Here is a 22835-nt window from a genome sequence, read left to right on the forward strand (position 1 = left end):
TTGAATGTGCTTGTGTGAAGCTGACAGAGTTTGAGGACAACACAAAAGAAGAGAAGGTAAGACTCCTGCCCTTGAGGGGCTTCCAATCCTACATGGAGATTAAAACAAAACTTATACCCTTGACAAGAATTTGAAGGCAGAAAGCATCCTAGTACCTGTGTTATGCATACCCAGGTGCTGAAGAAATGAGAGAGAGAGAGAGAGAGGGAGAGAGATCAAAATTGGGCTGGCGTGTTGGAGAAGGGTTCCAGAAGCAGTTCACTAAGTCTTAAAGGAAATTATTTACATTTCAATGCAAAAGCCTTTATTGGTAGTATATTTTCTTTTTAACAGGAGAAAAACTTCACAAATATCATTTAAAGCATCTACGTAATTGTTTTGGTTGGATTGTAAAAGATATATAAAGGCTTGAGGTATGACATTAGAAAATGAATAAAAAATTAGGTACTTGGATTTGAGATATACAGAAAATAGAGAACCATTAGAGATAATAGAAAGCATGAAAATAGTATTTTTAAAAGAAAATTTATTTTATTTTAGATTCAGGGGGTACATAATGCAGGTTTATTAAATGAGTGTATTACATGATGGCGAGGTTTGGGCTTCTGATGATCCTGTCGCCCAAGTAGTGAACATCGTCCCCAATAGGAAGTTTTTCAACCCTTGCTCCCCTCACCCCTCCTCCCTTTTGGAATACCCAGTATATAATGTTCCCATCTTTATGTGTACCCAGTGCTTAGCTCTCACCTATAAGTGAGAACATGTGGTATTTGGTTTTCTGTTTCTGCATTAATTCACTTAGGATAATGGCCCCTAGCTCCATCTATGTTGTTGCAAAGGACATGATTTTGTTCTTTTTTTATGGCTGTGTAGTATTCCATGGTGTATATGTCCCACATTTTCTTTATCCATTCCACCATTGATGGGCATCTGGGTTGATTCCATGTCTTTGCTGTTGTGAATAGTGCTGCAATAAACATACAAGTGCATGTGCCTTTTTGGTAGAAGGATTTATTTTCCTTTGAGTATATACCTGGTAAGGGGATTGCTAGGTCAAATGGTAATTCGATTTTTGGTTATTTGAGAAATCTCCAAACTGCTTTCCATAGGGGCTGAACTAATTTGCATTCCCACCGGAAGTGTATAAGTCTTCCCTTTTCTCTGCAACCTTGCCAACATCTATTATTTTTTGACTTTTTAATAATAACTACTCTGACTGGCATGAGGTGGTATCTCATTTTTTTTTATTTTTTATTTTTTTGAGACAGAGTCTCACTCTGTTGCCCAGGCTGGAGTGCAGTGGCCTGATCTCGGCTCACTGCAACCTCTGCCTCCTGGGTTCAAGCAATTCTCCTGCCTCAGCCTCCCGAGTAGCTGGGACTACAGGCACGTGCCACCATGCCTGGCTAATTTTTTGCATTTTTAGTAGAGACGGGGTTCACTGTGTTAGCCAGGATGGTCTCGATCTCCTGACTTTGTGATCTGCCTGCCTCAGCCTCCAAAAGTGCTGGGATTACAGGCGTGAGCCACTGCGCCCAGCTGGCCCTCATGGGTTTGATTTGTATTTCCCTGATGATTAGTGATGCTGAGAATTGTTTACATTTGTTGGCTGCTTGTATGTTTCCTTTTGAGAAGTATCTGTTCATATCTTTTGCCCACTTTTTAATGGGGTTGTTTTTTTCCTATTGATTAGTTCAAGTTCTTTGTAGATTCTGGAAATTAGTCCTTCATCAGATGCATAGTTTGCAAATGTTTTCTCTCATTTGGTAGGTTGTCTGTTTACTCTGTTGATAGTTTTTTTGTTTGTTTGCTTTGTTTTGTTTTGTCTGTGCAGAAGCACTTTAGTTTATTTAGGTCCTAATCAGCAATTTTTGTTTTTGTCATATTTGCTTTAGCAGACTTAGTCTTAAATTCTTTGCTTAGACCAATGTCTAGAAGAGTATTTTCTAGGTTTTCTTCTAAGATTTTTATAATTCGAAGTCTTACATGTAAGTATTTAATCCATCATGAGTTAAATTTTGTATATGGTGAGAGGTAGAGGTCCAGTTTTATTTTTCTGCATGTGGCTAGCCAGTTTTCCTGGCACCATTTATTAAGGAGTCCTTTCTTCATTGTTTATTTTTATTAACTTTGTCAAAGATCAGTTGATTATAAGTGTGTGGCTTTATTTCAGAGGTCTTTATTCTGTTCCATTAGTCTATGTGTCTATTTTTGTATCAGTACCATACTGTTTTGGTTACTGTCGCCTTGTAGTATAATGTGAAGTTTAGTGACATGGTATCTCCAGCTTTATTCCTTTTGCTTAGGATTGCCTTGGCTAGTCAGGTTCTTTTTCTGTTCCATATAAATTTGGGAATAGCTTTTTATAATTCTGTGAAAAATGATGTTGCTAATTTTATAACAATAGCGTTAAATATGTAGATTGCTTTGGGCAGTGGGGACAGCTTAATGATATCGATTCTTCCAATCTGTGAGCATGGAATGCTTTTTGATTTGTTTGTGTCATCTCTGATTTCTTTCAGCAGTACTTTGGAGTTCCCCTTGTAAAGATTTTTTTTACCTCCTTGGTTAAATGTATTCATAGGTTTGTGTGTGTGTGTGTGTTTGTGTGTCTCTACTGTAAATAGGATTGTGTTCTTGATTTGGTTGTCAGCTTGCACGTTATTGGTGTTTAGAAATGCTAGTGATTTTTGTAGGTTGATGTTGTATGCTGAGACTTTGCTGAAGTCATTTATAAGGTCTAGGAGTCTTTTAGTGGAATCTTTAGGGTTTTATAGGTACAGAATTATACCATCAACAAGAGACATTAGGTCATTTGACTTCCTCTTTTTCTATTTGGATGCCTTACAAACGGCATTTAAAGAAGACTGGTTTCTTAACTGTTTGTAGAAACATGGGGCAAAGATCCAAAATCAGCTGAGTAACTCAAGCATTAAAGGGATAAGGGCCTGATCTTGAGAGCTGGCTATAGAAATGGATAAGGAGTGGTATGTTCTCTATTAAATCTTAATTCTGTATATAAATTACTTTTATCTTTTTCAAATAAGTTTGGGATTTTAGTGGCTTGTCAGGGTAGTCTTATGAGGTCAAGCCAATGAGAGACATTGCTACCATTTTTAGCAGGGCGATGGTGTGTGGAAATGCTTGCTGAATAAAGTGGGGTTACAGGAAATGTCAACTTTTGGGAAGCATCTTAATTAAAAAGGAATGTTTCTTTTTGTTTCTTTCCATGCACCATACACTCTGAATCATCATCATATGGTATTAACTTATAAATCAGATAATTGTTCACATCTTGGGCATTGAGTCATTTCTTTTCTGAGAGTAGTTTGCACTGAGTTTGAGAGACACTTCATCTTTCAGCTAAAGATGGTGTTTAATGATTCTATGGAATTCTGCTCTGTAGACCAGAGGGATATGATAAATCACTATTAATACTGGGCTGACTATAGATGTGATTCTGTGAGTCTGGGGGTGGATGGTGAATGGGGTGATAACTGTATGATTTCTGAAAGCTCTACAGGTACTAATTTGGAATCCTGACTTTCTCTCTAAAACCAGTCATGAAAAAAATTGACTTACGAAGTTTTGGAAGTGGAGAGTTGGGGTAGAGGGCATTTCTTTATATAATACTTTGTTGTTATTGATATTTCCCCTCTAGAGACCTTTTCTGTCACTGCATAATGCTTTCTGTCTCTCAACCTACATGCAAATACGTGCAGTAAAATGTGTACAGATAGCTAGATGGCCTTCTCTTAACATTTGCATTTAAAATTTTGCTAGTTTACGTTGTTCAGTGAAAGTGCCTGTGTTTTATCAACTGTTAAATTTAAAAATCTTTGGCCTTTACATAAACATTGTTGCCATTCACTAGGGATGTCAATTTGTTTTGGTAACAAATCCACTCTTTTTTCAAAATTTACCACTCTGCTTCATCACATCTCATAACTGAACACTGGATTGTCATAGTTGATATCTGTCTTAACAGCTTACCAACCTAACTACCTTAATCTCTGTGGCTCTGTGCATTACTGGCCCTGACTACTGTCATTAAAGCTTTCACCTCTTCTTTTCTACCTGCTTCCAAGTACCAGTATTGCTTCAATCACCTTCTTTTTTGAATCAAAGAAAATACTGTAATCCCTAATAAGTATGACAGTGCTTATGTGGACAGTGAAATAGAGTATCAACATTGCTCAGGAAAATACAAGCTCTGTGGTATGTAATTTATGATGCTTTGGTTGCAAGCAACAAAGAACAATGTGCAAAATTTCTTAAGTGATATTAGAATTTATTATCTCAGATAAGAACCCAGAGATGTCATTTTAGGGTTTGTTAACTCAGTGGGTCAACATTATCCTCAGTAACTTAGGTTTGTACCATCTCTCCATTTGTGTCCTGTCATCCTCAGTGTATTGTCCCATGTCCTCAGGCTACACCCCTTAGAAATATAGGTGTGCTGCAGCAACCTTGTATTAGTTTACTAGGTCTGCTAACAAAGTACCACAAACTAGGTAGCTAAGACAAGAGAAATTTGTTGTTTCACAGTTCTGGAGACTGGAAGTCTGAAATCAAGGTGTGGGCTGAGTTGGTTCCTTCTGTGATATATGTGAAGAATCTGTTTCCTGCTTCCCTCCGAGCTTCTAGTTGTTTACTGGCATTCCATGGCTTGTAGATGCATCATTTCAATTTCTGCCTTCATCCTCCTATGACGTTCTCCTTGTGTCTGTCTTTACATGACCATTTTCTTATAAGGTCACTAGTCATATTGGATCAGGGGCCAATCTTACTCCAATATGGTCTCATCTTAACTAATTACATGTGCAGTGATCCTGTTTCCAAATAAAGTTATATTCTGAGGTATGAGAGTTAATGTTTCAACATTTTTTTAGGAGAACACAGTTTAATCCATGACAAAGCCCTTGTATCATATCTTCATATAGCAATGTTCAAAGGCTGAAAGAGCAAACATTTCCTTATTTTCCTTTTCCCCCAGTCCCCCCAGCCCCAACAGACACAATAGACTTTCCCAGGTGTCTCATTGGCATGGAAAATATTGCCTGTCTTTATTTAAACCAATCAGAGTAAGTGGAATCACTGTGATAGGTTTATACTAGAGTCTGGGAAACTTTATCTGTAAAGAACCGAAAGGTGATAGTTTAGGCTTTGTGTGGCAGATACTTTATACTGCAACTACTCATTGTAGCATACATACATTCACAGACTATAATAAATGGATATGGCTGTATCTCTGTAATTTTTTTTACAAAAACAAGCAGTGGCTGTATTTGACCTGAGGGCCAGAGTTTGTCAGCCCTTGCTTTAGATTAATACAAATGTACTATCTAAAGTTGGTGACTGACCCCATCTTCTTGGAAGTATAGAACTAATTTTTCACTTTATTTTTAAAGAAAGGAAGAAGTTTAATATTTTTTGGGAGGCAACATATGGTCAATGTAAGTATAGCATACAGCCTTTCTAATTTTGGGTCTCTTTTGGTACATCTTGCCATAACTACTCATTTGAAAATGCTTCCTTGCAAAAAAGGTGTTGAGTATAGGAGTCACGATGTCTTGGGAAGCTAGATGACTATTAGCAACTTGCTAGTAACATCTGTTAAACCCTCTGTGCCTAAATTTTTCATTAGTGAATTGGAGGTGATAATAATAGTACTACCTTATATCTAGAGTCTTATATCATTTTTATGTAGATTAAATGATAACCTAGAAATGATCCTCCATTTACTTGAATGATTGTAAATGATTTTATTTTGAGTATATGGCCTATTTCCACATTGTGGAGGCACCAGAACTTGAGGTAAAATTTTATACAAACTTGCTTTCCCAAATAGTATTCTTTCTGCTAATAGCCCCTTCAGGATGAATGAATTAATTCATGTAATTATATATATGAATGAGCCATAGATACAAGGATGATCTACAATACAAGAAATAATAAGACACCAAGTTTAATTAATGGTACTCATGATCACAGCTGGAGAAAAATGGACCACAGCACAATAGATTGAGCCTGTGGATTTGGATTCTGTTGGCCTCTACAATCAATATGGATCACCCTAGGATGGAAAGAGCAGTAGAGATCCATATTGATGACAACAGGCAGAGGCAGCCCTTGAGATCTGTGCCTGCATTGCTCTTGTTGGTTTTTATCGCTTATTCGTAAATGCAGTGTAACTGATTCTGTGTTGTATTCTGTTATTGCTACTTGCTCCATAGGTACTGGATTCACAGCACTATTGTTTACTCAGGAAGAGAGAAATCTTAGAATGGCAAACTTGTCTTTTACTTCTTTTCTTCTCTCTATGACTCACATTGGTGATGTCATTCTACAGAACACTAATTCAACTACTACACATTTCTTTTTTTTCAGAAGGCCCTTAAAACCTGCATAAGATGGCATTATTGAATAAGCCCTCCCATCATCTTTCCATATTTATTTCTAATCAAAGTTGGACTTGAATTTCCTTATTGTTGAATTTCAGAATTTTAGAAAGTGAAGAGACCTTTGCCATCATATGGAGCCAATCAAATCAATACAAAAAAGGATTGGATTGACGTTATATAGCCATTAATGACAAATAATCAATGTTCTTTACGCTACAGAATTTGTATTGTGAAAAATTTCCAAACACATGCAAATTTAAGACAACAGTATAATGAGTCCCCTATGGGCCTATTAGATTGGTAATATGGGAAAGGCTCTACAATTTTCAATTCTTGCCTTATTTCCAGTACGCTTACGCTGACCACATTTCCTGGTTTAAACCAAGCCATGACTGTTAATGATCTTAACTCTCCATTTATTTTTCAAATGTGTTCTATTTTGGATAATGAATTACATGGTCACCCTCTCAGCATACCTTACTAACCTCTGCCCACTGTCTAGCTCCATACACACTGACACTGGATTATTTTGAAACGAATCCCAGACCTTGTATCAGTTCATCTTTGAATATTTTTTGCACAAATAGATTTCTTGTTAAGAATCTTTAGCTTGCCATATGTCCATTTTCTCTAAAACCATATTAAAATACTAATCAAAAATAAAATATTTGGAGGTACACAATGCCAGAGTCATGCAGGATAATATGTTCTTCCTCTTTTTCCTCCTCTTTCTTTATTTTTGAGTTGTGTTTTTATGTTCCAGATGGACTATTTTGACTAAATTGACTAATCAATGTCGACCTGTGTGACTCATTATTTGACTTGAGGGACTGATTATTTAATGGTTTAGACAAATCCATTGGTAGTTTTGGCACCTGCAGACGTACTTCAGTTGCTAAAAATATGATATATGGGATGTAGTTTAGGGCTGTGGTAAGAAAAAATAAGTTAGTTCTTATAATTATTCCTCCTGTATGACTTAGTAATTATAAAATTAAACACATAGAAAAAAACTCCTCAGTTTTAAACACGCTTCAAAAAGATCTAGAAATTGTCAATTTTTTTTCTACCACTATATAAAATATCTACTGGAATAACCTGCATGGATTCGAAGAATAGTTGAAACATGTGAGAGGTTTCTATCAGTCAATATGAGGCTTTCACATAATGTGCTATTTTGGAGCTGGGGGAGGGCTTTGTTTATATGTAACACAATCTTGTGTGTAACGTGGTGATTTAATTACCAGTTGTTGCCTTTTCCTTTCTAAATTTTAAGAAGGCTAAGACAGTAGTGATGTTGAAAGAGAGGACCAACATGGTTAACTCCTACTAAATAATTATTTTTAGATAAAGCAGACAGTATCTTTATTCCTCTCAATATCATCATACAAAGCTTTCTCTGCTCTTGGAATTTACTTCCTAAGATTCCAGATTGAGCCATTGCAAAGATTACAACCACTTGGGAATATTCTATTCAATACAAACCAATAGAGTCCAAGTAAATTTCCAGCTGAGACATTTTGAGCAAATTGTATGTCAGGTTTTTTGTGTAGTAGCAAAAGTCCCAAGACCTTTTGACAAGATCTGAATCTTTTAGTTCATTTGAAAAGGACAAAATCAAGACAGTCTTGTGTATGTGTATGTGTGTGTGTGCGTGTGTGTGTGTGGTGTATAATGTACTTATATATTGCTATATAGAGACATTTTGTCTTTAGATTTTTTTCTATAGCAAGATAAAAATCAAAAAATCAATTTCTTCTGAATGCATTAAATCAAGAGAACAGTGGTTAGACTGAAGTTTTTTTTTTTTTTAACATTAAAACCCTAAAATTCCTATTTATTATCTTCTGTCACTTAAAATCCAATCCAATCTGGTTCAAGCACAAATATCATTTGTCATAGAATTGAAGATACTGGGATTCATATCCAATCTTGATCCATTTCTTGATTAGTTTCTCTCTCCCTCTCTCTCTTTCTCTCCCTTGCTTTCTTTTAAGATTTTTGGTTTCTCTTGAGGTCTCTTTACCTTTGGGGCATAACAGCTCAAAAAACCTCTGTGTTAGAAGTTACAGCATAATTCGCTTTACTTGGCCCTGTGTTTATGACATGATTGGTATCTGTGAGCAGGTAGGGAATTGGAAAAAATGTTCCATCTGACTCTGAATGTGGCATAGTCTGATTACAGCAGACACTATGAGACAGATCTCTTTACTCTGATCCTAGGAATATCCTATTGCTCTTTTACTGACACCAGGAATAGTTCTGTCTTTTTAACCTTCTCCAGAGATAAGATTATTCCTGGTTCTGGGCCTTGACTATAACTCTAGCGTTATCAGTTGTCAAGGCATGCTCTCTACAACCTTAATACATCCTGGCAATCACTATACTGAATGATTCTGTGTCCTAACCTCGAACAAATTCTCATCTTGGCCACGTTTTGCAAAAATTTTCAAGTACACATGAAGCTAATGAAAAGAGGTTAAACCCAAAGCTTTTAGCTTAATTGTGCATGCAGTCAAGGTAGAAGAGTCAGAATGCTGCATCTTCCTGCTGCAGTGACTTGTATTTTCTTGTCGTTAAGCCCTAAACCTTTCTAGGCTGGTATGCATAAATAAGAAGATAAGAGAAATGAACTTGTGTCCTGAATATGGAACTCTAAACACTTAGAAAAGAACCTTCCTTAAGAGTGGGCAGAAATCTGTTCATCTTCACAAACCCAAGGAACAAGGCACAGGTCTACTAACTATAGAAAGATGGAGATAAGAACAGCTGGAAAAAGCTTAAATGGCACATTTTTTTCTCATTTACATCTTCTTCATGGTTCTGATTTTCCTCCAAGGAACCATTTCAGAAAGCAAATGAAGAAATGTACCTGGGAATTCATAATCTACTGAAAGAACTACACAATGAAGACGTTTTAAAGTGAGGAAAAATTTTTGTAGATGCTACTTAATTTTTTAATGGTCACCAGCCTTAACTGATATTCTATAGATAGGCCTAATGTAAATTTTGGATGAAATTTTGAAATATCTGAACATTTGTTTTGGCAAATGTCAGGGTGTCTTTTGGACTGAAAATACCTTTGTTAGTTTCAGACGATCAGACAGTTTTATATGCAAAATGACTTTCTGGAGAAACAAGCATTTCATTAGGCAGCTGCCTGGAAATGTTAAGAGATGCTAATTGCTTGGCAGACTTGGAGGAGCAGGGAGCACAGAGGGATGCTCTTGTTACCCCAATTCATGGAAAGCAGAAAGTGACACTAAGCCGAAGCTAAGAAATCTGTTTTCTGGTTGTGATGCTACTTTCTTGATTCTTAAAGGAAGCTTTATATGTTTTCTGGTAAAACAGGTAAAAATTCAAGACAGAGCAGAACAATTTAAATTCTCAAATTCTGGAGAATCTCAAACCAAGTAATTGTCCTTGAAGGACCAGATGTCTCTCCCAAGAAATCATCATTCTTACAATTAAAAAATCCTCCAATATTATTAATAAGTACTAAACAAATAATATCACACTTTGAGATAGTTAATTGCTGCTCGTCAGTTTGAGTCCTAAGAAGCAATAATACGATAAGTACCTACCTACACATTATAGCTAATAAGCTGCTATCAGATCTTTACTAAAAAAAAATTATTGATTTTTTGGCCATATTACTGCACATTTATACCTTAAACACTCAAGTCTTTAGTTAAGAAATTGCATCATTCATTGCTTAAAAAATGAAACAGCCTGCTGAATAAATGTCTTCTAATTATTAAATAACTACATTTTAGGTTTTTCAGAGTATTTGAATAGTTTCAAGAGTTATTTGGGTCTTAAACAAAACATGGTATTCTCAACAGTTATTTATGCCTCATAACAAAACCAAAGCACATTTACTGAGTGTTTTTCAATGTGTCAGGTACTGTTCTAGTGATTAGCATCTATTAGCTAATTTAATCCTTATGATGATCATATCAGGGTGGTGCTATCATTATCATCCTCCTCAATTTACAGAAAAGAAAACAGACACATGGAATTCAAGTAACGTGCCTAGAGTCCTACAGTCAGGAGATTGGTAGAGCAAGAGTTGAACCCAATTAGTCTGAATCCAGCACCTATACCTTACACACTACATCAATGTTTCTCAAACTTCGGTTTGCATCAGAATTACTCAAAGCTTGTTAAAATACAGGTTACTGGGTCCCAGTCCCAAAGTTCTTGGTTCAATATCTATAAAGTAGGGCCAGAAATTTGCATTTTAATAAGTTCCTAGATAATGCTGATGCTACTGGTCTGGAGTCTACATTCGAGAACTTTGCACTGTGCTATAGTAGCATTTAATTTACTTAGAATCACCATTTCTTCCACTGAGATAGACTGTAGTCTCTTTGAGGGCAGAGAGAGTATGTGTTGTATTCAGTTTTCAACTTCCTATAGCTAATGTTTGCAAGTAGCAAGTACCCAGTGTCTGTTCGAAGTATGAATGAATGAAAGACTCTCCAGAGTTTCTCTTTAAAATGCGAAGACCCTGGCAGTAGTATTTAACTAAGTTGTCATTTTATAAATAATTTAGCATGAATTCCTTTATTATAAATTAACAAATTAACCACCTGAAAACCCTGGAAGCAGAAGAGAGACACTGAGAAGAGAGAAGATTCTTCCTTTTTCCAGGAATAACCCTGCTGGGAAAATGTGAATGAGTTTATAAAATCCTTAGAAAAGGTTGAAGGTGACAGAAGGAGCCAAAGCTTTAGAGACAGGTAAATAAGGGTTCAAATAAGGGTTTAAAATGCTGGTCCTGGTGCTTACTAGCTGTATGACACTGTGCAAAAATAGAGTGTGACCTTTATTTTCTCAACAGTAAAATCTCCTGACTCATCAGATTACTATGAAAATCAAGTAACTTAACTTATATAAATCATACACCAGCAGTGACTGGTACTCACCAAAAGTTAGTTTTCTTTCTTCTCTAACACTTCTGATTCATGCTATACATTAACACCAGATTTTCCACTTTGGCAAGAAAGTAGAAAAGATAGTAAAAGAATGAAGGAAGCAATATGTGCCTTTCTCTATCATTATATAACATATAGAATACACTTAGGCTACCTATTAAGATGGTTTACATTATAGTTGTACCTTTCATATTTGATGGAGTTGAAAATCAAAGATTAATTTCATTAATTATTAGATTTTTTATTATTCTCTTGCACCACATATCCAGGTTAAATTATATTGGCTGTGGCTATGTAATCAAGATCAATAATACTTAAAATATCAGAGGTGCAACCTTTCTCATTTTAGTGTATTCCCAGATTATTCTTAGAAGAGGTTTATCTTCTCTACCTTTAAAAAAGAGATGCTAAAACGCAAACATGTGAAATGATTAAAAGAAAAGTCATATGTTGTTAGAATTCAGCTATTCAACGCCCACTACAGTGCTTTCTATCTGTTAGGTGTTGCTTCTTCATTGAATTACAAATAATAGAACTGACATATTCCTGTTCATTTGTATTAACCACACTACAAGTTTTGTTATTATAATAGTATAGAAAAATGTTCGTGTCTTAGAAATTACCTGCTCATCATATGTTTTAAGAAGATCATTTGATGCAACCTCTAATTTAGAACCGTATTCCTTTTTTAAACCATTGTGTTTAGCACTTCCCTTTTCCTCAGCCCATGGTACCTGGTTTTGGCAGGAAGTAAGTGACATGGTAATGTAGAGGAGGCTTCTAGATGCCAGTCCAGCTCAGCAAGTGTATTTAGTTGACTAGGATTAGTATACGTGTTATAGTAGTCCCTTTGCACTTTCATGTTTTTAGAAACAATTTTCCAAGCACATTTCTAAGATTTAGAGTCAGTTTTAAACAAAAGCATCTTTTGCTTTAAATCTCTAGTTTGTGTGCTTTCTCTGAATAAACAAAACAAAACAAAACTGACAATAATGATCAAAATGAATTGTTTAAAACATTTGCTGCTTTCTGCCCAATTATGCAGATAACACCTTCCATGCATAAAATGTCTCATTTTTCTTGAAAACATCCCCTTCCCTCTGGCCGTTGTGGTCCCTGTTTTCTTGTTGTACTCTATGGACCATTGCAGAGAACGGGGCTGGGAGGTATTCTAAGAATGCTGTAAAGCATTTCAATGATTGCTGCCACAATTGTGTTTGGCACATCCCTGTAGTCACAGATTCGTGAGGAATTCATATGCTCACACTTTTTTACTGTAAATGATTAAAAAACCCTCCCTGTGGCTTTATATTTTTAATGGTGCTCACTTCAAAACCTTGCAGCCTTATGAAATGTCCTTTATAATGAGACCTCATTTTTTTTAGATGTCAACACCTAAAGATGTAAATACGCTAAGGTACTTGATAATAGGCAATGAACATTTTCACCTTTAAGTCGTTAGCTACAAGCTAGCCTAAATTAAGAGCAATAGATTATTTATTATCGATAAAATAATTGTATCTCTAAAGTGCAGTGGAGCTTACTGATTGCCAAGAAGAATCTAAATAAATATTCCTTTGTCTTCAGTGACAGCAGGCCTCAATCATTGCTTCTAAACCTTCATTCAGTCCCAATAGGCCTGTGGCCTATGATATGGTCCCATTTGTAACACAGGCTCCCTATATGATGTGGTGAAGAACTAGGTAGTATCTGAAACTGAGACTAATTAATTGCTTGAGCTTATCATTTAACATATATTTATTGAGTATTTACAATGGCCTAGGAATGGTTCTAGGTGCTGGGGAAAAATCAGTGAATGAAACAAGGTCTCCACACTCGTGGAGCTTATATTCTAGTGCAGGAAGTTGGACAATACAAAAATAAATGTGAGATATAATTTCTTTCTTTTTTTTTTTTTTTTGAGACAGAGTCTCACTCTGTTGTCCAGGCTGGAGTACAATGGCACGGGCTCGGCTCACTGTAACCTCTGCCTCCTGGGTTCAAATGATTCTTGTGCCTCAGCCTTCCCAGTAGCTGGGATTATGGGTGTATGCCTACACATCCAACTAATTTTTGTATTTTTAGTAGAGATGGGTTTCACCATGTTGGCCAGACTGCTCTCGGACTCCTGAGCTCAGGTGATCCACCTGCCTCAGCCTCCCAAAGTCTGGGATTACAGGTGTGAGCCACCATACCCAGCCGTGTGATATAATTTCAAGTGGTGATAAATACTATAGAGGAAAAATAAAACAGGGTAAAGGAATAGAGATTCATTGGGGAGAAGGCCTAGTTTATATAGAAAAAATGAATAGTATTAGAACCTTCAATAGGTAATATTTCTTAAAAAGAGCCTTGGCCGGGCTGGTGGCTCATGCCTGTAATCCCAGCACTTTGGGAGGCTGAGGCAGGTAGACCACCTGAGGTCAGGAGTTCGAGACCAGCCTGGCCAACATGGTGAAACCCCGTCTCTACTAAAAATACAAAAATTAGCTGGGTGTGGTGGCACACGCCTGTAATCCCAGCTACTCAGGAGGCTGAGGCAGGAAAACTGCTTGAACCTGGGAGGCAGAGGTTGCGGTGAGCTGAGATTGTGCCCCTGTACTCCAGCCTGGGTGACAAGAGTGAGACTGTCAAAAAAAAAAAAAAAAAAAAAAAAAGCCTTGGTAATTCTAATGTAAAAATAGTAGCACAAAAATTCTTTGTTGAATTTAATGAAGGAAACACTGTTTCCTCTATATTCCACAAGAATTATTGTCCTAAAAGGCCTCCCATGGGCTTTGATTAAGAGGTAAGAATTTCAAACTCAGGAGAGAGGATAGTGGTAATGGTGGTGGATGCTCTGTATAGCGAAATCTTTAGTAGGAAGCCCTCTCAAGCACAGGGATCACTAATGTAAAAAGTGTAAATTAAGCTTTTATGTCATGTTCAGGGACAATGTGACCTAAGTAACAGTGATAGTCATTTCACTGCAAGCACTTGAAGTCCATGAGATCTGATATCAGTATGTGTGATCATAAAGAATAGAAAAATATTGATACAGGCATACCTCATTTTATTGTAGTTCATTTGATTGTACTTCACAAATACTGCATTTTTTAGAAATTGAAGATTTGTGGTAATCCTGAATTAAGAAAGTCTATTGGCACCATTTTCCCAACAGTATGTGGTCACTTTTTTTCCATGTGTCATGTGTTGGTAATTCTTATAATGCTTCAAACTTTTCATTATTATGATATCTGTTATGATAATCTGTGGTCAGTGATCTTCGACGTGACTTTTAAAATTCTTTTAGGGCTTCATGAACCATACTTGTGTAAGATGGCACACTTAATCAACAATTGCTTTATGTGTTCTGACTGCTCCACCGGCTGGCTGTTCCCCCATCTCCCATCCTCTTCTCAGGCCTCTGTATTCTCTGAGACACAATAGTTTTGAAATCAGAATAATTAACAATCTAACAATAGCCCCGAAAAGTGCTCAAGTGAAAGAAAGTGTCACACATCTCTCACTTTAAATAAAAAGGTAGAAATGAATAAGCTTAGTGAGGAAGGCATGCCAAAAACTGAGATGGGCCAAAAGCTGAGCTCCTTGTGTCAAACAGTTACATACGTTGTGAATGCAAAGGAAAAGTTCTTGAAGGAAGTCAAAAGTGCTACTCCAGTGAACATACAAATGATAAGAAAGACAAACAGCCTTATTGCTAATATGGAGAAAGTTTTAGCAGTCTGGAAGATAGAAGATCAAGCTAGCCACAGTATTCTCTTAAAGTAACCTTTAATCCAAGCAAAGCCCTAAATCTCTTTAATTTTGTGAAGGCTGAGAGATGTGAGGAGGCTGCAGAAAAGTTTGAAGCTAGCAGAAGCTGGTTCACGGGGTTTAAGGAAATAAGTTGTCTCCATAACATTAAAGTGCAAGGTGAAGGGCTGATGGAGAAGCTGCAGCAAGTTATGCCGAAGATCTGGCTAAGATATTGATGAAGGTGGCTAGACTAAGTAGCAAATTTTCAATGCAGAGGAAAGAGGCTTCTATTGGAAGAAGATGCCAACTAGGACTTTCATAGCTAGAGAGAAGTTAGTGCCTGGCTCCTTATCTTCAAAGGACAGGTTGACTCTAGTTAGGGGCTAATGCAGCTTTTGATTTTAAGTTGAAGCCAGTTCTCATTTCCCATTTGGAAAATCCTAGAGCCCTTAAGAATTATGCTAAATCCACTCTGCCTGTGCTCTATAAATGGAAAAACAAAGCCTTGGATGACAGCACATCTGTTTACAGCATGGTTTGCTGAATCTTTTAAGCCTACTCTTGAGACCTACTGCTCAGAAAAGAAAAGACTCTTTAAAATATTACTGTTCATTGATAATGCACCTGGACACTCAAGAGCTCTGATGGAGATGGACAAGGAAATTAATGTTGTTTTCGTGTTCACTAACACAATATTCTTTCTGCAGCCCATGGATCATGAAGTAATTTAGACTTTCAACTCTTATTTAAGAAATACATTGGTAAGGCCATTTCTGCCATTCATAGTGATTCCTCAGATGGATCTGGACAAAGTAAATTTAAAACCTCTGGAAAGTATTCACCGTTCTAGGTGCTATTAACAGCATTTGTAATTCATGGGAGGAGGTCAAAATATCCACATCAGCCTTTTGCAAGAAGAGTTTGGAAGAAGTTGATTCCAATCTTCATGAATGGCTTTGAGAGGCTCAAGACTTTAGTGGGGGAAGTAACTGCAGATGTGGTGGAAATAGTAAGATAACTAGGATTAGAAGTAAGCCTCAGAGAGTTAGCTCTTTATTGCTGAAAAATGTACTTCAGAAAAAAAATATGCTAAATGACTGGATTACTGTCATCTCATTATAAAACTAATTGATGAGCAAAGAAAGTGGCTTCTCAAGATGGAATATTCTCTGGGTGAAGATGCTATAAACATTATTGAAAGGGCAACAACAGATTTAGAATATAACATAAACTTACTTGATTAGGCAGTGGCAGGATTTGAGAGAACTGACTCCAATTTTGAAAGATGTTCTACTAAGTGGGTAAAATGCTATCAAACAGCATATCATACAACAGAGAATCTTTCACGAAAGAAAGAGTTAATCAATTCAGAAAACTTTATTGTTGCCTTATTTTTTTAAAAATTACCATAGCCAGCCCAGCCTTCAGCAACCACCACCCTGATTATTCAGCAGCCATCAACATGAGGGTGAGACTCTTCACCAGCAAAAAGATTACAACTTGCTGAATGGTCTGATGATCATTGCCATTTTTTAGCAATAACGTATTTTTAAATTAAGATGTGTACATTTTTTAGACATCATGTTATTAAACACTTATAGACTATAGTGTGAACATAACTTTTATATGTACAGGAAGTCAAAAATTGTGTCATTTGCCTTATTGCAATATTCACTTTATTGCAGTGGTCTGGAGCCAGAATCACAATATCCTTGAGATATGCCTGTACACAGAAAAATTTTCAAATACATAAATCAAGGCTTTTTAAGTGGTTATGGGCAGCACTAAATAAGATAAGGAATAAATGGGTCTCAAATAATTAGTTCTTCATTGCGGAAAAATGTACTTTGGGAAAAAGCATATTCTCCATCACATTAGTATATAAACTACAGTATATAAAGAGCCCAAAGCCTACTGTAATTTCTCATCGCATGCTCTCTAATGAATGTAATATGCTTCTACATCAAGAATATTTGATGGATTGAACATCTCTGTTTTTCAACTCGAGTCCCCATTACTATATGAAAGGTTCTCGAAGCATTCTATGAGTTGACCTCCTTGGAAACATGAATATTGAATGGGAAATGCCTTACAACTTAATATTCTATCCCTCTCAGAGGATATCTTTATTTATATAAGAACTAAAGCTTTAAAGGAAAGGCAGAAAGTTTTTTATGAGATTTCAAGACATCAGGGAGGTAAAGGAGATCTTTTGAGGAGGTCCTTAACATTTTACCAGCTTGTAATTTTACTTAAGAGTAGTGAGAGGTATTCTAATTGCAGGAATGGGAAGAAAACTTCGCCTTTTTGTTAACTTTATTGAAGGTCAGATTTTCTTTTTAAACTTGTCTATATTTATCTGTTATACACTCACTACTCACAGTTAAAGCTTACTGCTTCACTTACTGAACTAATTCGGAAACACACATGCATGCACATACGCACATAGGAAGAGAAAGAAAGAATACCACAAATAAAGCCCAAATCATTCCTGTTCAACCTTCACTGCATCTTTTACACTTAATTGTATTAAACTGTCAGCATTTCACTAGTTTCTTCTTTTTTGTAATGCTTCACTGAGAGTACTACAGCTTACAAAAAGGAACTTTTATCCATAAAAGAGCTTTTCTATTGAATGAATCAGAAGATAAAACCAATGCACTTTAAAAATATCTCTCTATCATTTTTTCTCAGCTTGTTGCTCCAGACCTCGAGTTTAAACTAGTTCGAAATCAATCAACTCACTCAGAAGTAGAATGAAAGACTTCTCAGAAGAAAGTGAGAACACAGGAAAATATATATTTTTAAATTGCCGATCGTCCCTTACATCTCAGACAGAATTTTTCACTGTCTCGCACAGAATCAGGGCACGTGGTGAAGCATTTGGAAAGCGGATGCTGAGGTCAAGCAGCAAGCATTGGCACATAAATTGCAAGGCAGATTGAGAATTATTAGAGAGGAGAGTAAAACAAAGGGAAAAATAAGTGGCTACTCCATGAAAATAAAATCTATCTTTCATTAGTTCTCATCTAGGATGTAGTGTTAATTGAGAGTAAATATGGATTGATCTCAGAAAAGCAGTCAATTTACAATTTTACAACTCATAGAAACACTATAAAATAAGAATATAAACTCCTTGAGGTAACAAAGTATGTTTTCTACTTTCTTTTCAGACACTCAGAGAGTTGTCTTTACATAGGTGCATAATGAATTCCTTAGGAATGACCTATTAGATTAATTTTGGGGAAATTCATTCGATTAAGAATTATAAAACTATAGAATCCCAAGCTTAATGTTTCTCACAGTTAGTAATATTTCTAATGGCGACTTAGTGACAATCTAGAAACATGTTGAGGATGCCCAATAGGAGTAAATCCTTCTAACATTGAATATGAATATGAAATAGAAGAAATTAGAAGTGCTCCCAGGTGACCAAACCTCACTGTTCACTGTGTGCACTGGTGAAGGCTTTAGGAGTAAAGGATTAACAGTGCTTGTGTGTGTGCTGTGTCAGAATCATCAGTTAACCAGGAGACTATCATGCACTTAGTAATCACAATGACAAAAGGAGAGCCTTGGCTTAGAGGGAAGGGAATTCGTTGGAGACATATATTACCATTAACTGAGGTAGAACAGAACTCGTTTTCTTTCAGTTTCTCTTTTCTGACTGGCCATCCTTATTTTTTTTTCTCTTTTGTTAACCTCATTTTTATGAGTGCTCTGAAAATACTGGTTATTGATTTTACAGTTATGAAGTTGATAAATGCTGAAGTTTCTGCCCTAGGACAACCTTTTAAAATAAAATTGTGAAAAGATGGAACGTTACTAAAAGAAAGTAGCAACATCCATTAATGTCTGTTTCTGTTATATATTTGTATATCATAATAATATTATTAGTAATTGAAGCTTCCTAACTCATTCATTAATTAGCCTGTTCATAAACTTGAGCTGTGTATCCACTCTGTGCCAGGCACTGCGCTTGGGACCAAGAATTAAAAGATGCATATCTTACTCCATTCTCCAGGAGCTTTTATTTTCTGGGATACTAGTCCAGGACCAGTTGATGATGAAACTATCTTAAGTGGCATGCTACGATTTTGTAAAGAATATTACAGGGGAGTAGAGAAGGGTGAGCCATGCTTTCAAGGAAAAGGTAAAATATAAGTTAAGTCTTGAATTCAAACTGGAATTAGGTTGGGAGAGGAGGGTGTTAACTGAAGTTAGCTAAAATGTGGGTGCCAAGCATGGGCCTAAGTGAGTCACTGTACTGTCTCTAACTGCCCGTCCATCTCAGTGTTCTGCCTGCTAGGCCCTCAGTAAATAGAAGTTCAAGGAAGAAATCTACGTACATGGAATGGTAATGTTACAAATATAACTCTAAAATATTTGAGTAAAATAAGATTATTTTTACAGAGCCAACATAGTAGCTTCTTAGAGTCTTTGTCATTGTTTCTGGTGTTTTCTCCTCTTTTAGGTCTCTTCAGGAGTAACAGTAGTGTTCTCTTACATCAAGGAGTAAGAAAATTACAGAGCTAAAGAATAGGAGGAAATGAGATAGAAGTAATTCTAAAATCACAAATACTAGAAAAAAATTGCTAATGATTCATAAGGCATATTTTAGAGACTTCAATAGTAGTAGGCAGTCGTTCTGTAATTAATTCATGCAACTCAATTGAAGGTAGATGCATGTTCAATCCATGCTATTGTTTATATGAAATAAGTCCTTCAAACTAAAATTAAATACCTTTATGTATGAGGCTAGTTGAATTTCATAATATTATATTTTATGGTAAAAGTTACAGGGGTAGGCAAATATTACCGTAAATAGTTAATAATACTTAATATCTGCTAAGCATTGCAAAGGTGGTTTTTTAAAGGGAGATCAGGCAACAGTTCGAGTATGGGAAATCCTTTGTAGAATTTAAAAAATGGGTATCTTCTTTTGGCAAGAAGTAAAATGTATCCTCTATGTTTTGGTTTAGAATTTTGAGAATTTTTTTTTCCTGCTGAAACAGAACTGCCGTTGATCTTTGAACAATGTGGGGGTTAAGGGTACCGACTCCTGTGCAGTCAAAAATTCACATATAACTTTTGACTCCCCCAAAACTTTACTAATGACGTACTGTTGACCAGAAGCCTTACCAATAATGTAAATATTTGACTAACACATATTTTTTGTGTTATATGTATTATATATTGTGTTCTTAAAACAAGCTAAAGAAAATGTTATTAAGAAAATTATAAAAAATAGAAAATACATTTACTGTTTATGAAGTGGAAATGAATCATTATAAAAGTCTTCATCCTCATGGTTTCCCCATTGAGTAGGCTAAGAAGGAGGAGAAAGAGGAGGGGTTAGTCTTGATATCTCAGGGGTGACAGAGATGGAAAATGTGTAACAGTTGAGAGAGGAGGCAGGAGAGGCAGGCACACTTGGTGTAACTTTACAGAAACATCATAATTCCTATCATTTTGCTTTTTCAGTTCTCTAAAAATATTTCTACATGGAACCAAACCTTCTTCCACCATTTGCTTTAGTTTCAGTGCCCATATCGTAGAAAGGTCCATGTCATAAAAGAAGTCAAAAGCGGTCTTCAACATAACTCTTTTGACAGATTGCCTAATGTCAGTTTATTTTCTGGCGCTGTTTCTTCTTCGTCTTTTTCTTCACCATCTGGCACTGGATTGTAAACACTCATCTCCATCAAATCATCTTCTGTGAATTCCTCTATTGTGGTTTGGTGTCTATTAGCTTTTGAATTTCTCTAAGATGTATATTTTGAAAGCCTTCATCCCTTACTTTTTAATTTTGCCATATCCACAGTCTCTTTCATTATTTCCTTGATTGGTTCTGTTATAAATCCTGTGAGATCATACACAGCATCTGGACACAGTTTTGTGTTGTTTTTTTCCCAGCAGAAATTTATTGTTTCAGTCTTGATGGCTTTTATGGATTTTTCTGTAACAACAGCAGCATCTTCAATGGTGTAATCCTTCCAGATTTTCATGATATTTTCTCTTTTGGGGTTTGGTGACATATTAATAGATTGACAATTTTTTTCCATAGAGTACTGTGCATAATGAGCCTTAAAGGTCCTTATGATTCTTGACCTAGAGGCTGAATTACAGATGCTGTGTTTAGAGGCAAGTAGACCACTTCTATGACTTCACTGTTGAACTCATAGAGTTCTGGGTGGTCAGGGGCAGTGTCCAATATCAAAAGAACTTTAAAAGGCAGTCTGTTACTGTCAAGGTAACAAAGGATCAATAGAACCAATCCAGAAAAAGGGTTCTCCTCTTGAGGCCTTCTTGTTGTATAAGCAAAAGACTAGCAGATGGTATTTATCTTTTTCTTCAAGGCTTGGGGTTTAGGGGATTAGCTGTTTTACGGATAAGGGCAGTCCTCGTCGGAAGCCTGACTGTGTTTTCACAAAACAGTAGAGTTAGCCTATACTTTCCTGCCTAAACTCTGGTGCCTACTTCCTTACTAATTAAATGTCCTTGGAGGCTCTCCTTACCCTGAATAGAGCAGTTTTGTCTGCATTAAAAACGTATTCACATAATTATTCTTCCTCCTCAGTGATTTTCTTAATGATGTCTGAAAATGTCTGCTGAATCTTGAGAAGTGCTTCTCATGTTACCTTTTTTTTTTTTTAAGCCAAACCTTTATCTAAAACCATCCTTTGCTGGCATTAAATTCTCCAGCTTTAGATACTTCACCTCGTTTTTGCTTTAAATTGTCATATAATGACTTCATATTTTTCTTGAATCATATTTGAGTCGATAGGTGTGCCTTTCTTATAGCAATCCTGCACTCACATAAAAACTGCATTTTCAACGCAAGATAAAAATGTATATCACAGTAAGTGCAAGGTTCATCCCTGCTGGTATAACTGCAGTGACAGCTTTATATATATATATATATTCTTTTTTTTTTACAATGGTCCTTACGCTTTATTTATTTGTCTTGAAATGGCAGGCAACTGTGACTGTAGACCTCAATCTATCATACATATCAAGAAACTGAACTTTTTCTTGTAATGTTATGACTTTTCTATGCTTTTGAGAAGCACTTCCAGCATCACTAGTGTCACTTTGTATGGGTAGCATGGAGTTATTCAAGGTTTACAATATTGCACTAAGCACCACAAAAATATGTGAGAACTGCAAGATTGTCATTTACTGCTATAACATAATTTACTGAAAAATACAAGGATCTGCTCATGTGGAGATGATTAGCATCACAGTGTTTTAAGCAGATACTCTTAACACTTAAGCTCATCACAATAGCAACCAGAGGAGGCTACAAAGTTGTTATAATAGAACAGTATGTACTACAGTTAACTTTATGCAGTATCATTTAATACCACATTTAAAAAAATTTTAATTTTATTTTTAGATTCAGGGGTTACATGTGTAATTTTGTTACATATGCTGAGGTTTGGAATATGAATAATTCCATTCCTCAGGTAGTGAGCATGGTACCCAATAGTTAGTTTTTCAACTTTTTTCTCTTTCTTTCCCATCTAGTAGTCCTCAGTGTCCATTACTGCCATTTATATCCATGAATACCCAATGTTTAGCTCCCATTTATAAGTGAGAACATGTGGTATTTGGTTTTCAGTTTCTGTGTTAATTCACTTAGGATACTGGCTTCCAGCCACAGCCAGGTTACTGCAAAGTACATGATATCATTCCTTTTTATGGCTGCATAGTGTTCCATGTTATACTGCATCTTTACATTTGTTTACAG

The 22835-nt window shown here is 36.0% G+C and overlaps 1 long non-coding RNA gene across 1 annotated transcript; it reads right to left on the reverse strand.

Moving 5' to 3' along the window:
• Nucleotides 1–14641: 14641 nt before the first annotated feature.
• On the reverse strand, nucleotides 14642–20890 carry LOC124906199 (uncharacterized). The gene is made up of 3 exons (XR_007096262.1): nucleotides 20599–20890; nucleotides 20347–20411; nucleotides 14642–14759 (listed from the first exon to the last, which is right to left on the reverse strand). It is a non-coding gene; the product is annotated as an uncharacterized LOC124906199 (long non-coding RNA).
• Nucleotides 20891–22835: the final 1945 nt, after the last annotated feature.

This window comes from Homo sapiens, chromosome 3, assembly GCF_000001405.40.
Source record: "Homo sapiens chromosome 3, GRCh38.p14 Primary Assembly".
Lineage (NCBI taxonomy): Eukaryota > Metazoa > Chordata > Mammalia > Primates > Hominidae > Homo > Homo sapiens.